The following is an 18,276-nucleotide window of genomic DNA, read 5'->3' on the forward strand; positions in this document are numbered from 1 at the left end:
TGTGGTGGGAAAAATAAATTGTAGAGTTGCTGGAAAAGAAATGTAACTACTTAAACCAAACAAGAATTTTTTTTCCTATTTAAATCTTCGAAAAAGGAAAAAAAAATCATTGTCTATTCAAAGTCCAGACAAAAAAAGTTTACTAAACTGTAGTGACCATGATGAACTTCACTTGAACCCTGTGCTCCAAGGAAGCATCAATGGTTTAGAAATACCACACCTCCCCGATCTTTTTGTGTCCTCAGAAACAAGTAACTTCAAAAGTCTACCCTGTCTTTGCATATAGGACACATCTCCATCCTACCTCATGACTCATGTAAGCCTCATGATGACTCTCTTGTAATCTGCCTCTAAAAAGCCTTAAATCTCCTTCTCCTGGGAAATATTCCTCAATAATGAAGGTTCTCCCTATTGCAACAGTCTAAATAAAGACATTCCCTAATGGTCTGGAACATCTTGTCTTTGACAAAGCAATCGTACTCAAAACAATGTGGTACTGGCATAAAGACAGACCTGCAGTCCGGTGGAATAGAACAGAGAGCACAGAAAGAATCCCTAACATATATGGTGCAATAATTTTCAACAAAGATACCAAGACCATCTAATGTGTAAAGGACAGTCTTTGAAACAAATGATGCTGGAGAAACTGGATATCTACATACAAAAGAATTAAGTTGGATCCTGACCTTATACCATATCAAAAATTAACTGTAAATGGATCAAAGACCCAAATGAAAGCAAAAGCTTGAAACTTTTAGAAGAAAACATAGGGGAAAACTGTATGACATTTTATTTAGCAATAATTTTTTGAATATGCCACGAAATGCACAAGAAAGAAAAGGAAAAAATAGATAAATTGGGCTACAACAAAATTAAAGACTTCTGTGCATCAAATGGGAGAAAATATCTGTAAATCGTGTGTGTGTTAGAGATGAGGGGTTAATACTGAAAATATATAAAGACCTCCTAAATCTCAACAAAAAATAAACAAACTGATTCTAAAATGAGCAAAGAATTTGAATAGACATTCCTTAAAAGAAATAAATAGCCCGTGAGCACATGAAAAGATATTCAACATTGTCACATGGAAAATGCAAATCAAAACCACAATGAGATACCACCTCACACCCATTAGAATGGCTACATATCAAAAATAAATAAATAAGGAAAATTCAAAGTGTTGGTGAGGATGTGGAAAAACTGGAACCCTTGTGCACTGTTGGTGGCAATGTGAAATGGTAAAGCCACTATGCAACATAGTATGGTGGTTCCTAAAAAACTAGAAACAGAATTACTATATAACCCAGCAATTCTACTTTCTCGACATATACTTAAACCCATTTATGCTGGCAGTTGCAATTTTTTTGAATTTTTGCAATCAGACCTTGATGATGACCTTGAGTAGTAAGATATAAATAACTCCTACATGCTTAGCATTCCAATAATGGAACACTAGGCATAAATGGGTTAAAGAAGTAAAAGCAGCTTCTTGAAGGGATATTTGTATATCCATGTTTACAGCAGTATTGTTCATAGTGGACAAAAGGTAGAAGCAGCCCAAGTGTCTATCCACAGAAGAATGAATGAACAATACATATTGTTTTTATATATACATATATATATATATATATATGCATACATACATAGACACACACAGTGGAATATTATTCGGCCTTTAAAATGAAGGAAATTCTAAAACATTCTACAACATGGATGAATCTAGAGGATATTACACCAAGTGAAATAAGCCAGTCACGCAAAGACAAATACAGTTTGATTTCATTTATATGAGGCACTTAGAGTAGTCAAACACATAGAGACAGGAAATAGAATGTTGGTTTCCAAGAACTAGGGAGAGAGGAGGATGGAAAGTTGTTAATGTTGTACAGAGTTTCAGTTTCCCAAAATTAAAAGAGCTCTGCATATTTGTTGCAAAATAATGTGAATACAATGAACATTAATGAACAATAAACTTAAAAATAGTTAAGATGGTAAATTTTGTCATGTATATTTTACCACAATTAAAAATAAAAGTAACAAAAATACTCCCTAAATGGGGGCTTGATTAACCCTATATGAAATTTTAAGAATATACAGTCACAGCTAGATAATCTGGTCAGTTGCTGTATTATTCTTGCATTATTATAAAGAAATACCTGAGATTGCATAATTTAATTAAAAAAAAAGAGGTTTAATTGGCTCACGGTTCTGCAGGCTATACAGGAAGCATGGTGCTAACATCTGCTCGGTTTCTGGGGAGGCCTCAGGAAGCTTACATCATGGTAGAAGATGAAGGGGGAGTTGACACTTCATGTGGCCAGAATGGGAGGAAGAGAGAGAGTGGGGAGGTGCTACACACTTTTAACAGCCAGATGTCACAAGAACTGACTCATTATCACTGGAACAGCACCAAGTGGATGAGGCTAAACCATTCACGAGAAATTCACCCCCATGATCTAATCATCTCCTACTAGGCCCCACCTCCAACATTGGAGATTACGATTCAACATGAGATTTGGGCAGGGACACAGATACAAACCATATCAGCTGCTCATAGAATAGACCTATATTTTAAGAGGAATGTTATGCCAATTGACTGGCAGTGTATATGTTATTTTGTATTATCTCAATTAGAAAAGTTTGGAGATTTTAACATTAATACTTACATTTGGGAGAATTTTATTGATCTCTGATATATCCATGTCAAAATACCCCATTACACACTATATTAGGTAGGTTTTGTTTTCCTATGGCAGCATTTTTATTCCTTTGCCTAGTCTGTGAACATGGTGAATTGACAGAGACAGACAAATATACATTTAAAAATTTCCTAATCATATCAACCCTTTAATTTATTTTTTAAACTAGCTCTTTGTTGAAGAGTTCAAAATTCAAATTGTGCAAAGGGTTTTATAAGGTGAAATGTATACCTCCCCAAATGTATGGCCAGTTATCAACACTATAAACTGAATTAAACACTTCATTCCAAATGATCTGAAATTCTACCTTTATCATACGCTAAATTGCCACATATATTTGAATCTACTTTTGTGGTTTTTTTGAGACGTAATCTCTCTCTACCACCTGGGCTGAAGTGCAGTGGCGTGACCTTGGATCACTGCAAGCTCCGCCTCCTGGGTTCAAGCAATTCTTGTGCCTCAGCCTCCCTAGTAGCTGAGATTACAGGTGCGCACCACCACATCCAGTTAATTTTTGTATTTTTAATAGAGACAGAGCTTCACCATGTTGATCAGGCTGGTCTCAAACTCCTGACCTCAGGTGATCCACCCACCTCGGCCTCCCAAAGTGCTGGGATTACAGGTGTGAGCCACTGCGCCCAGCCCAGGTCTACTTTTGAATTCACTATACTGTTTTCACTGTCTAAGCATGTACAAATTCCAAATTGTTTTTGTCAATTGCAACTTTCTTATATATCTTACTTCTAGGTATGGTTCTTCTATTTCAAATATTTCCTGACTCTCGGCTCAAGGTGATACATACATATAAACATCAGAAGCAGATTGTTTAGTTCCAAACAAATTAATTTCCAGATATTTTTCATCGTGACTGCATTATATTTATACAGTAAGAAACTGACATATTTACCACACTGGATATCCCAATTCAAAAAGTGGCTCTGTGTTTGTATATATTCAAGCCTTCTCTCTAGTTCCCTTTTAGCATTCCAAGCTTTTCTCCATATAGATGTTACACATTTCCTGCTCAGTTTAGACCTAGGTATTTTATGTTTGGTTAATTTCTTCAAAGGGAATTTTTCTTCCATTTTATTATACAATTTATTGTTGTATATAGGAAAGAAATTTCAATCAACTATCTCACTAAATTCTCCTTCTCAGGAATTTTTTAGGTGAAGCTCTTGATTTTTCTAACAAGTATAGCCTCTCTAACATATGGATATTGCCTCCTCCTTTCCAATTTTTATGATTCTACCTTAGTTCTATGTTTCTTTTATTAGTCCTTACAGAATATTATTCTCTGAGAGAGGCAATAATGTATATCTTTGTCCAGTTCTCTGACACTGCTGAGAATATAAAACATTTATATTATGAAAAAGATTCTCTCCTTGAGCAAACTTGAGTCAGATTCCTCTGAATTCTCTTTCTGATTAGGTCCCAACCTTGGGTCCTGTCTTTGGCCCACATAGTCTGGTTTCAGTAAGAATCCTGCTGAGTCAGTTTAGTGAAAATCTCCTACTCTAGGTATCTGATCACTGTATCCGGCTTTGAGCAAGTATCCTATCAAGTCAGTTTACTCACAATCTCTCCTTACTCCTGATGTTTCCTCTTAGCATTTCTCCATCCACTGCTTCCCACTGTCTTAGTCAATTTTCTGCTGCTATAACAATACCACAGACTGGGTAATTTATGAACCAGTTTATTGGCTCATGATTTTGGAGGCTAAGAAATCCAAGAGCATGACATTGTCATCTGGTGAGGGTCTTTATGTTCATCATCCCATGACAGCTGGGCAAGTTGGTGGTCAAGACAGAGTGAAAATTAGGCCAGACTTATTGTTTTATCAGGAGCCCAGTCTCACAGTAACTAACCCATTCTCATGAAAATACAGCCCTCATGACTTAATCACCTCTTAAAGGCTCCACCTCTTGATAACATTATAGTGGCAGATACGCTTCAGTTTGGGAGGGGATATTCAAGCCATAACACCCATCCTGCTCCTTGGATATAAATTTCCTTGTATTTGGAGTTGAGCTCAATCTCTCTTCCTACTATAAAACCCCAATGCAGTAGTCTCTGTTGAAAAAATGTCTACCTTACTATATCCAAGTATCATGGATAATTCTTTCTTCATCAATTATGATCTAAATTTTCTAAAATAGTTTATGTGTATACTCATAGAAATATACTTAGAATAAAGGCCACCAAGTTAAAAAATAAGTATTCCTGGTGAGTAGGATTTGGGGTGAATTTTCACTACGCTTTCTGAACACATTTTAATGCTTAAAATTTTTTAGGATGAGCAGGTATCTTTTTTATTAAAATCGTTATTTTTAATATTAATGTTTCTGAAACATATTCAGCATTAAAAAGATTATAGGGTCATTTAATGACAAGATAAAAATACTTTCAATAAGAATGATATGGCTACTAAGTTGTGTGAATGTGCAAACTTACTAAGTTGGTTCAACTTAATTACTTAATAAATGGAGACGTTAGGTACATCTCTTGGACTACAGATACCCTGGCAAATTACTTAGACTGAAACTAAGTGTGCCATGAACATACAGTTTGTGAAGCTCATCTAAGACTGAAGAATAACCAGCAGAGGCTAAAGAGAACCGGAACCAAAGGCAGGCATACAGTTTACCACCCACATTAATATGACGTTTCTATTTAATACTTTGCATTAACTTCAACTACTATTCCAGGAAATTTCTTCCAGTAAGAGGAAGTTGTGAATAGCTTTGTTTCAGAAACTTCCTGGAAATCAATTTTTCTGAACAATGCTTATCAAGCAGTCCTCATCTGAGTAAACAGCCACTTCTCAGAACATCTCTCAAATGGGTTTATCAAATGACTGATACTCTTCAAAGTTTTACATAAAAACTATTGAAAAAAATATATCACAAACTTTGATATAATTTTGACATAAAATTATATCATGAAGTTTGTCCAATCTCAATCATTCAGGCCCCAACAATGAAAGACCTGCCACAAACCAGACTCCAAAAACCTTATAAATATGAATCCCTCCACATCTGATTTTCCCCTTCTGAAAGGTTATTAAGACAATATTGCAATGGTAGTGGCCTTCCTTAGTGCTGTAAGTAACAAGCCTGAATTTGTTTGATCAGAAGACTATTTTGGTGGCCTGTTCGAATCATTATTTGACAAGATACAAATTCCCTGTTTAAAATCCCTCTGCCGTTTCTCATTGCTATTATACATACTAAGGACTAAAATCCTTCACATGACTGATAAGATCCTGCAAAATCTGGAACCAGATTAAAATTGCCAGATAAAATTCAGAATTTCCAGTTAAATATGAATTGCTTATAAACAATGGCTATTTTTTTCTTAGTGTAAGTGTGTCCTAAATCTGTTTATCTGAATTTGAATTTTAACTGAGCATTCTGTATTTCGTTTTTCACCTGCTAAATCTGGCAACCCTAGGTTTTTCACCTGCTAAATTTGGCATCCCTAGGCCAGGAATGGTGGTTCACGCCTGTAATCCGAGCACTTTAAGAGGCCGAGGCAGGTGGATCACTTGAGGTCAGGACTTTGAGACCAGCCCGGCCAACATGGTGAAACACTGTCTCTACTAAAAATTTAAAAAAAATTAGCCGGGCATGGGGCCAGGTGCCCATAATCACAGCTACTTGGGAGGTTGAGGCAGGAGAATTGCTTGAACCTGGGAGGCAGAGGTTGCAGTGAGCTAAGATTGCGCCACTGCACTCCAGCCTGGGCAACAGAGCAAGACTCCATCAATAAATAAATACATAATAAATAAATTTGGCAACCCTATTCCATCTTTATCTTAGTGTCACTTTCCACTTACATCTAAATCCTGAGTTCAAGTCCATGGTGTTCACAAATCCTATGTCTAGAACTCTGGCCAGAGGCTAGATGGCCAAAGCCATTAAAGCAAGTATTTCATCTCTGCAGAAGGCAAATTAACTATCAAACTCAACAGTTGGCTTGATAGTGGTAGGATCTCCCGGACGACTGGTGGGTACATATGGACATAGAACAATGGCTACACCTTAGGCACCGGAGTGAGGAACAGACTGGGAGTGTACAAATAATTACAATTTGATAAAATCTTGGGACTGACATAGAAGCTCTGTAGTTTTTTTTTTTTTTTTTTTTTTTCCTATGATGGTAGTTTCTCCACTAGGGGGTAGTTGAAACAACCAATACCCACTGAGGGGGTCCTACCCATGTTCCTCTCAGGAACATGCATGGTCCTTGGATAATGAACTGCTGGGGAATAAAGGCCTCTCAGGACAGGAAGACTCTGAAGAGTAAGAGGATAATGAGAGAGAGACAGAGAGAAAGAGAGAGGGGAAGGGAGGAAGGGAGGGAAGGAGGGAGAAGAAAGACTCATAAGAAACAAAGAAGTGGAACTACAAGATCTTCCTTTGGCCTTTTCAGAAATCTAAGAGGTATGGGTTGTTAATGTCTAAAAGGTACCCAGAGATAAGAGCACCAAGCTGAGGCTGTGAAAAGATAATGAATGGGCCTAGGGAACTCCATGGAAATACTGAAGTTGTTGAAAACAGAGGGTCTGGCCGGGCGCAGTGGCTCACGCCTGTAATCCCAGCACTTTGGGAGGCCAAGATGGGCGGATCACTTGAGGTTAGGAGTTCCAGACCAGCCTGGCCAGCATGGTAAAACCCTGTTTCTACCAAAAAATACAAAAATTATCCAGGCCTGGTGGCGGGTGCCTGTAGTCCCAGCTACTCTGGAGGTTGAGGCACAAGGATCGCTTGAACCCGGGAGTCAGAGGTTGCAATGAGCCAAGATTGTGTCACTGCACTCCAGCCTGGGCAACAGAGTGAGACTCTGTCAAAAGATAAAAAGAAAAAGAAAAAACAGAGGCTCTGCCCAAGAAGCTCTGCCACCCCTGCTTTTTACATATCCATTCAGGTAACTTGCTGACAACAGTATCTGTTCCAAATTTCAGACATTTCCAGGAATTTCAGAGGGACATGGAAAATACAAAGGCCCATAATAACACTCCATTAAACTAAACATTCTGGAAATTCTGGATAGGATTGTCAATCAAGATTAAGAAATTCTACTCAAGATGCTGAAGTGTGAAGCAGAACAGATATACCCAGAAGTAACTACATAACAGCAAGAAATCTACAATAATATAAATTACACTAAGTACATAACTGGTAGAGAAGAGGAGGTGATTAACTGTTTTGAGTAAGATGAGGTTTGGCTTCAGAAGATACAATACTATGGAAGGTCATAATATGCCACCCCAAAATACAAAGAATTGTTGACCTGAAGAAAATTAAGAAGCAGCAGGTACAGGAAAGCTCTCTGCCCTCCCTCTATTTGCCTAAAAGCAGAACATAGATTTACAAAGACGAAGGTATCCCAACCCAACACCCCTTTCTACCAGGGAGAACAAAGGTTAAAAAGGTTAACCACTAAAGACAACTTTAGACACTTATTGGCCTAGAAATGGTAGCAGAGGAATTTATATAAACAAGCCTTACTAACTAGCTGTCATCTCTCATTTATTTGGCTTCCCAGATGTTGCTGCCACTAGAGATTCAAAGTCCTTTTACTTTGTCTTGTCACATCTTTAAAAAAAATACAATTAAAAAATTACTATTCTTTGTTGAAGGTGATCTATAACCTGAAATTTAAAGCTACCTCTTTGAGAATTACTCATTTCCTGGGTATCCCCCATGTATGCATGAAATATACGTATTAATTAGCTTGTTTTCTCCTACTAATCTTGTCTTTTGTTACAAGGGTATGTTCTGACTAAGAACTTACGAGAGTTGAAGAAAAATTGTTTTTTACTCTACAACACCTAAACAGAAAATTGACTGATAAGCAGCAATTTACAAGGTGTTCAAATATAAAGGCATAACAAATATAACCTGACTCTAGGCTGTGAATTTTTTTCTTTCTGAAATGGCAATTTCTCCACTAGAGGGAGACCACAGCATGCTTTAAAAGGCAATGAGTCGGAGGGGGGAGGGATAGCATCAGAAGATATACCTAATGCTAAATGACAAGTTAATGGGTGCAGCACACCAACATGGCACATGTATACATATGTAACAAACCTGCACGTTGTGCACATGTACCCTAAAACTTAAAGTATAATAGTAATAAAAAAAATAAAAGGCAATGAGTCAAAAAGAGGAATGGGGCCGGGCGCTGTGGCTCATGCCTGTAATCCCAGCACTTTGGGAGGCCGAGGCTGGCAGATCACCTGAGGTCAAGAGTTCGAGACCAGCCTGGCCAACATGGTGAAACCCTGTCTCTACTAAAAATACAAAAATTAGCCAGGTGTGGTGGCACATGCTTGTAATCCCAGCTGCTTGGGAGGCTGAGGCAGGAGAATCGCTTAAACCCAGGAGGCGGAGGCTGTGGTGAGCTGAGATCACGTCACTGCACTCCGGCCTGGGTGACAGAGCGAGACTCCGTCTCAAAAGAAAAAAAAAAAAAAGGAAGGGGTGGGAAGATGGATCAACACTGTATTCAGATACAAATGTTTTTGTTTTGATTTGTTTTGTTTTGTTTTGAGAGAGTCTTACTGTTGTTGCCCAGGCTGGAGTGCAATGGCATGATCTTGGCTCACTGCAACCTCCGCCTCCCAGGTTCAAGCGATTCTCCTGCCTCAGCCTCCAGAGTAGCTGGGATTACAGGCGCCCACCACCATGCCTGGCTAATTTTGTATTTTTAGTAGAGATGGGGTTTCACCATGTTGGCCAGGCTGGTCTTGAACTCCTGACCTCAAGTGATCTGCCCGTCTCGGTCTCCCAAAGTGCTGGGATTACCGGCTTGAGCCACTATCCCCATGAATGGTTTTAAAGCTGGATGTGATCATCTGGTCAACACAGGAAGCACTGGGGAAAAGATGAAGGCAACAACAAGAAGAAATAAAACATGCCCTCCAACAGAGAAAAGAAGCTACAATTTCCCTTTGCCCATTATCATCTACACAGTTTAAATGAAGAATCACCTCTGACTAGGATGTAGAAATCTTTGAGAAATATGGCTTCCCATGGGAAAATCCTACTGATTTGCTGCTTATTATCGTTATTTGCAAATATTAATTACATGTCAGTTCAGATAACTTGGTGGTCCTAATACTATCTGCAGAGATTAACAAAAGCTATATTTTGTGAAACTACATACAACAGAAACTCTGTGCAGTAGCATAACAAAATACAACCATGTATGGAATGGCTCATGTTTTTGAGAAAAACAAACATTCTCTAGGAAGAGACATGCATCACAAAAAGTATTCATTAATTCCACAAATATTTCCTACGTGTCATCCACTATGCTGAATACCAGATTCCTAGAGATCCAGGCATCTAGTAAAGAAACATGGACAGAGAAATGTCAGAGCATGTACTACCCACCTGGGCATTTTGTAAATGCAGTTTTCCCAGATGACAGCTACATTTGATATAGGGAAGACTAGTCTTTCATTTATGATCACCTTGTCTGGCTACTTGTATCTAGAAGGGTTCCAATGTATGCTCATAGAAAAGATTTTATGAAAGCGGGTTGCTAGTCATAGTATAAGCATGTCAGAATAGGAGGCAAAGGAGATATGTGAAGAATAAGAGAAAAAAAAAGAGAAAGGGAGGTAAGCAGTAGCCCTAAACACTAGCGTATGCAGTGAATAAATGTTGTGTGAATCAGTGAATGAGAGAGAGAGCTGTAAGACAAGGCTAAAGAAAAGGAGAAAGGGGATCATGAGGCAAGGCAGAAGATAAACAATAAGACCTGGAAAAAATTGAAAGCCAATGGAGTTCAAGCAGATGAAATAAGGTATACATTACACATCAGAAAAAGGAAAACTGTTACAGTCTCCCAAAGTTAATATATTCTCCTTATATGCTTTACATTAAGATGGTGAAAGATCTTGGTTTAAGAAATAGGCTGCTTTTTTCCAAGGGGAAGACTATGGTTTCTCTTTTCCAGTTGCCTATACTGCTTCATGTCCTTATGCTGCCAGTGAGGATCAACAGAATCCCAAATCTGGGATATTCCAGAGTTTATTTTGGGAGAAAAATATGTGACTGTATCTATGAACTATAGCTGCTGCTAGACACTAAGTTGCAGGAGGCTGGTGATTTCTTTCCCCATTCTTCACTGTTACATCCCTACCACTTGATACAATATCTGGCACTTAGGAGGTACTCAAGATTACTATGTTGAATGAATGAAAGAATGAACACTGCAGGACATAAGAGATGCTCAGGGCATAGTTCATCTGCCTAACCTGGCTCAAAATGGGGGCTCTGGGGATCCTAGTATTACCAACAGAAATCAAGAGGGTAAATTGGTTGCTCTGGGTCCACAATCCATTTCAGGCAGATCACCTGAAACTGGCTCTGGGATACAGCATGTTTGACAATATTACAGTAAAAAAAAAAAAAAGCTAGTGGCAAAAAGAAGTGCCATAGGAAAAAAAGTGAACAGACTGAGTACAGAACAAGTTTCTCCAGAGAAAAGTGTAAATGATACTCTGGCTGGCAAAGAGCTGAGACATCTTGGAAAACATGGTATCTTAGTCATTTCAGGCTACTATAACAAATTACCAGAGACTGAGTGGCTTATAAACAACAGAAATTTATTTGTCACAGCTCTAGAAGCTGAAAGTCTAAGATAAGGGTGCCAGTATGGTTGGGTTCTGATGAGGGACCTTTTCCAGGTTACATCTTCATATGGTGTAAAGAGAGTAAGCTAGCCCTCTGGCACCTTCTTATAAGGGTATTTATCCCATTCATGAAGGCCCCATCCTTATGATCTTATTCAACCCAAATTACTCCACAAAGGCCCCACCTCCAAAACCAATACCAATACTGGGGAGTCACTTTCAACATATAAATGGGGGAGGAAGTACAAACATTCACTCCCTAACAGATGTCATATGCCAATGAAAGGAATTTATTTCTGCTCCTTTTGAGGAAGTAAGTGAGAACGTCACAATGAGTCATAAGTCAATAAGATAACCACTGCCTAAAGGTCTTACCACAGATTCCAAAAAGGAAGAATCAAGAATGACCTCGGGGTCCACTTAACAGCATCAGAGGGAGTGTCCTAAAACTCTGAATGGAATAGTGTATGTAGTAGGCAGATTTCTGGTTCCCAAAGGTGTCCACATACTAATATCAGGAACCTGGGAATATGTTAAGTCACATGCCAAAGGAGAATTAAGGTTACAGATAGGTTTAAGGTCACTAATCAGATGACCTTGAGATAGGAAGATTATTCTGATGATCTGGGTGGAATGAATGTAATCACAAGGGTCCTTTAAAGCAGAAGAGGAAGGCAGAAGAGAAAGAACCAGAGTGATGGCAGCATGAGAGGGACTCTGCCTGGTGTTGTTAAAGTGGACCATGAGACAAGGAAAGTTCTAGAAGCTGAAAAGGTAAGGGAACAGACTGTCTTCTCCAAAAAAAAAAAAAAAGTAGCCTTGCTGACACCTTGATTTTAGCTCCAGAAGAATGATTTTAGGCTACTGACCTCCAGAACTATAAGAGGATAAATTCGTATTGGTTTTTTGTTTGTTTGTTTGTTTGTTTGCTTGTTTGAGGTGGAGTCTTGCTCTGTCGCCCAGGCTGGAGTGCAGTGGTGCCATCTCAGCTCACTGCAAGCTCTGCCTCCCAGGTTTACGCCATTCTCCTGCCTCAGCCTCCCGATTAGCTGGGACTACAGGTGCCCGCCACCACACCCGGCTAATTTTTTGTATTTTTAGTAGAGATGGGGTTTCACCATGTTAGCCAGGATGGTCTCGATCTCCTGACCTCGTGATCCGCCCGCCTTGGCCTCCCAAAGTGCGGGGATTACAGGTGTGAGCCACCGTGCCCAGCCAAATATGTATTGTTTTAAGCCATTAAATTTGTGATAATTTACTACAGCAGCACTAGGAAACTAATACAAACAATCCCCTGGATCTTCATTCATGGTGACATAGCTGAAAGACTCTCCCCAAGTCAGAAACCCTGCAGCAGGAAGCAGGTGGGATAACAGCATTGCTAGATTCATATGTCAACAACTGAAATTATTTTTGCTAAGTTAAAATACCTTTAAGAGAAAAATTCCTATCCTACTGTTTACATACTTACAAGAATGCTAGGAAATGGCATTATGTCAGGTGAGAACTAAAGATGAATTTGCTATCAATTATTCACATATTGAGAAAATAATAGAAAAGGAACAAATATTCATATCACAAACTTTATTTCTAAAAGTTTTTGAACTCAGTTTCATAGTCAAATGCAAATAGGAAATAATTTGGAAAGGGTAACAGTAAATATCCATTGATAAATTACTTCAAACTCTAGTGGTACTATTTCAAAGCAAGCATGATTTGAGAATAATCAATGTATTTAAAGTAGTAAGTATAGTAATGATTAATGAACCTATATAAAATCTATTTATGACATACATGTATACATATACACACATATACAAGGATCTGGCTTTATGAATAAAGTATCTTGATATGTATGGAAAGCTAAAGATCACATCATACGACAGTATCAGAAAAACGGTTAACATATACAGTTGCTTTAAAGATTAACATATAGAGTTCAAGTTCTGCAACTCCTGAAGTGGAGTGTGGTATATTTTTGTTTTATTTGCTAGGGGACTCTGAATTTCTCATTCAAACAAAGAGGTCACATAACTTGAAAGTATTTCTGATTAATGTATTTATTATCTATTTGTCCGAATATATGTGAATTTAATGCTAAAGTTAAGTCTCCAGATGCTGAATAATTCACATTAATTATGAAAATGGAAAAATGACTGTATGCATATTCCTACTCTATTATCTGTCTATATATATTAGGTATTCCACTTAGTTTCTGAGAAGTCCACGTATCTTATTCTAATGCCATAATGATGAAATAAGAAATTTAAATATCTAAACAGGAAATGAAAATAACATAAATAACATCTTACAAGTGACTTGTTACTTCACTCGTTACAGCAGGTCCTCTTCTGTTTAGATCCATAGGCCTCTGGCATGGTAAGGGGATTGTGAGAACAACACTTTCCTGTTTATGGCTGCCAACCAGGCTCAACTCTATCAAGAGCCCCTGCTGATACAACCAGTCTCATTGCTGTCCATGCCCCATCTCACCCATCTGCTCCATTGTGAAATACTTAAGAGTCTCTGGAGCACAACATGATTATTAAGACTATAACGACAATGGGGGGCATTTTCATTAATAAGATAGTTATAGCTTGATAAAGGAAAGAGAAACAGAACTCTTTTTTTATGATTTAAACTTTTTTTTAATTTTTTTTTTATACTTTAAGTTCTAGGGTACATGTGCACAACGTGCAGGTTTGTTACATATGTATACATGTGCCATCTTGGTGTGCTGCACCCATTAACTCATCATTTACATTAGGTATATCTCCTAATGCTATCCCTCCCACCTCCCCCAACCCCACAACAGGCCCCAGTGTGTGATGTTCCCCTTCTGAAACAGAACTCTTACACGAGGTTCCAAGTTGTCCCTGAGATAATCAGATTGGCTTCTCTGTGCCAAGGTGGCTTACAATGGATCCAGCACCAGTGAAGATTCTAATCCTCACATAAAACCTATTAACATAAAGCATCATACAAAAATCTGGTGTAGGCAAGGAATGTGACCAACCAACCAACAGCGTGATTGAAAATAACTATTGATTATGAATGTATTGCCTTTGACTTTATACTCTGTGATATATTTTATTTCCCAAAAAGACAAACTTTTGTCTAGGGGAAGAAGAAAAGGCTTTAGTAAACGATAGAAGAAAGCCTACAGTTACAAGTTATAGGAGATGTCATAGGGAAAGAAGTCTGAGGGTTGTTTAGGTAAAAAAAAATAACAAGAAGTATCCTTTTGACTAGCACAGAGCATGAGACATAAGAAAAAAAAAAAGAGGGAGAGATGTTACGTAACCAAAAGGCAATGGATGTTCACCCTCCAGGATAAATCATGATGGGTCCACATGCAGCCAAGGCAACAAGCCCCTAGTGGTATGAGACTAGATCAGGAAAGGGTGAAAAGAAGCAAGACAGCTTTGAGGATCCCAGTGAGACACGCCAGAGGACATCACATGAAATAAACTTAGAAGGAAGGTCTCCCCACATAACTAGACATTGAAAGGTAACTGAGAGACAGTTTCCCAGTAGAATGTAAGCCCCACAAAGGTGGAAAACACAGGGAATATGTTCACTTTTCAATCCACTGCCCTAAACACAATGATTGATGCCCGGGTAGGCACACAAATATTTGCTCAATGAATAAATGAATGAGGATCATCACCACATCTGGAGTTTCATACATTTGGGGCAGGGATCGGGGTTGCCACTTTCATATACAAATAAGGAAGTTAACAGTTTTATATTGCATCTATCAATATTTATATCTAGAACTTCCTGGTCTATATTTTAGATATTCCTATGAGAGTTAATATTTGGAGGATGGTTTTGAATAAATGAAATACACCAACTCTACCACTTTCCTTAATACTTGAATCAAATTCTACTGCCGTGTGTGATTTGAAGGAGCCACTTCAGTCCTATTAAAGCCCATAAGAGAATCAGTGGGATGCCTGGCATGGCATTTTTTAGCTTATTATACAACAGATATAAGAGTGATACTGGAAACAGAATTTTCAATAGTTCAATAGTTATCTGAATAAATATCTGAGTTCAATAATTTTTCAGAGATTCAATATGCTGGACCACGATGTCAGCTGATTTACATATGAAAAAGTGTCCTTAGCTAATGAGATGGGTTGCAAATTGACCAGGAATAAGCAATCCAAATTTTTAAAAGTCAAGAATGTAAGGTGATTAATGAAAACAGATGATGAGGTACTAATGATGTAATCTGGAATTCAAAAACCACACCTGCTATGACTGAGTGCTGTAACATCCTCAAATGTGAGTAGGGTTGGTTGTCAGACCTGCAGGCTTGTGAGAGATTAGCTATGCATCACAGTAAGGACCAAAAAATATGTATTTTATCCAAACTGCAGTTTTCCACACTCAATTTGTTCTCTGACACTGTGAAAACTCAGCTTACAAGATGCTTCACTGCCACCCACGAAAGGAAGAAGGGTAGGTTTGCAGGGAGAGAAATGCAGGTAGATACCTGTGAACCATCTATGTAAAGAGAGCTTGTGCAGAGACTCCAATATTGACTCCCTCAGCCTTTAGGGCTTCTTGCCTCAGTGATGTCCATTTACCCGAGCATGCTATATAAAGATGATCATTCTGATATGTGCCATGACCTTAATATGACTGAGAAGCACAAGTGCAGTGGGCAAGTGAATATTTGCATTTAGAACTCATCAGATGATGTCTGGAACAGAGATTTTGTGAGTTGTCAGCATAGAGGTGCTAGTAAAAAGCATAAAGAGAGAATACCACTGCCAGCCATGGTGGACTAACTGGTATCAGACTTGCCTTCCTGCTGTAACAACTAGAAAACTGGACAGTATATAGGAAACTCCTGCATGTAGTTATTGAGCAACAGACAAAACAGGACTATGACTCTGAGAAGAGGGATACAAACAAGATAACTGCTACCTTCTCCACAGCTTGCTTCTTAAAAGCACTTTTTAGATTGCAGCAGATGGAGTGGGAACTCAAGCTGAGCATGGAAGTCTTGCTCAGCTGAAGAGATAAGGATCAAAGTTTAGGAAGGTTGAAGCAGCTATAACTAGCAAGGCACAGTACCAGAGAAGAGTGAGCTATGTGGAAAAAGAGCTCAACAACCTTACCTGGGGGTGGATACTTTATATCTGGCCCAACAAAGCTTAAAAAGAAGACTCAAATAAATCAAATTGATCCACAAATAACTGCCCACAAAACAAAATTCAGTCCTCTTTAAAAGAAATCAACAAAATCAAGACATTCAGTAAGTCACAACATCCAGCAACCAATAAAGATTACAAGAAATGTTTTTTAAGAAACAAAAATGTGAGCCATAACCAGAATAAAAAAAAATCAATCAATAGAAAAACATATTAAAAAAAAAGAAGTAAACCAAGAACAAAGATAGAACTGTAGGAAACACACAGTCAAGGTGTAAAAAACAGAAAGATAAAGGTTCAGCAAGTTATTGAAAAGGAATCCTATAAGATGTTAGAAGAGGTCAGGCATTGTGGCTCATGCCTGTAATCCCAGCACTTTGGGAGGCAAAGGCAAGAGGATGATTGAAGGCCAGAAGTTCAAGACCAGCCTAGGCAATATAGTGAGACCCCATCACTACAAAAAAATTAAAAATCAGCCTGGTGTAGTGGCACACGCCTATAGTCCCAGCTACCCAGGAGGCTCAGGTTGAGGATGCAGTGAGCCATGATCATGCCACTGCACTCCAGCCTAGGCGACAGAGCTAGACCCTGTCTCAAAAAAAAAAAAAAAAGATGTGAGAAGAATCAGAAGAGTGCTGATGTGTTATGGAAGTCACGAAGTCATGTAAGGAGAAAGTTTCAAAAAAGAGAAAGTGGTCAACAAGGAGATCAAGTAAGACACAAACTCAAAAGTATTCACTGGATTTGGTAAGAAGATACCGACTAAGCCTGGCCACACAGTTCCAGTTGAGATGTAGGGAAAGAAGTTGTATTGCTGAGGGTTTCTGGAGTGAATGGGATACGAGGAAGGAGAGATAACAGCCATTTTCAAGGTACGATTGACTCTGCCCAGGGTGGGCAAGTATGTGTATGTTTTACTTTAGAAAATACTTTTTTCAACTATTCTACCACATTTTAGCAGTGTCTCCTTTCTCTTCCAGTCACATTTCTTTGTAACACATAAAGTACTCCCAATAAGAATTATCAAAGTAAAATTGTTACCAAAAAAGGCATTCAGCAGCTTCTGAACCTGAATATTGCTGCCCACAGTGCGGTACAACCCTTCTGTCTTGATCCCTAGTGGAGGAAAAAATCAGGTTAATTTCACTTGTATAGCTAGAGTTGTCATCTCCCCTTGGTACACTAGGGTCAATTCAGATAGGAAGGGGTCACACTACATACTCCAAGTTCTCCAGCCTTCCCTGTAACAGGGGAATAGTCCTACAGCATCTCTCCAAATTATCCATCCTTTCATTTGGAGTGTACCAAACCCTCATTAATCTGAAGAGAAGAAAACAAACTCTATAGTAAATAGAAGCATATGCTTAGTTTGGGCGGCAGCAGAAAGCTGAGAATGGTGCTGCCATCTTAGAAAGAAGTTCATTCAATTGAAAAAGGAGGAAGGATCAACCCTCAAGTTGCTTCTAAGCAGTGATATAAATCACGAGAGGGCTGGAGTAAGGCAGCTGTGAAACAAAAGGCCATTTCCTGCACCAAGAAAGACTAAAAAAACATTTCAAAGAACAAAGAGACTTGATTCACATACCACACTTGCCCACAGTCTAAATATCCTCAGAAGGAAACCAGGGAGTATCGGCAACCAGGAAGAATGCTGATTCCACATCTCCCTGAGTTTGGCTCTGCCCCATCAATTTTCATACCAGTATGTACTGTGGCAGAAATTGAACTCTTGATCATTTAGGATAGAACCATCATGACA

The 18,276-nt window shown here is 38.6% G+C and overlaps 1 protein-coding gene across 7 annotated transcripts in view; it reads right to left on the reverse strand.

The window, feature by feature from the left end:
- OPHN1 (oligophrenin 1) overlaps positions 1–18,276 on the reverse strand; it is a 391,498-nt gene that overhangs the window by 133,017 nt on the left and 240,205 nt on the right. For all 7 annotated transcript variants that reach the window (XM_011530961.2, NM_001437258.1, XM_006724653.3 and 4 more), the window contains one exon: positions 17,559–17,633. In XM_011530961.2, the coding sequence (XP_011529263.1) occupies positions 17,559–17,633 (75 nt within the window). The remainder of the gene's footprint in view (positions 1–17,558; positions 17,634–18,276) is intronic.

Source organism: Homo sapiens, chromosome X, assembly GCF_000001405.40.
Source record: "Homo sapiens chromosome X, GRCh38.p14 Primary Assembly".
Classification (NCBI taxonomy): domain Eukaryota; kingdom Metazoa; phylum Chordata; class Mammalia; order Primates; family Hominidae; genus Homo; species Homo sapiens.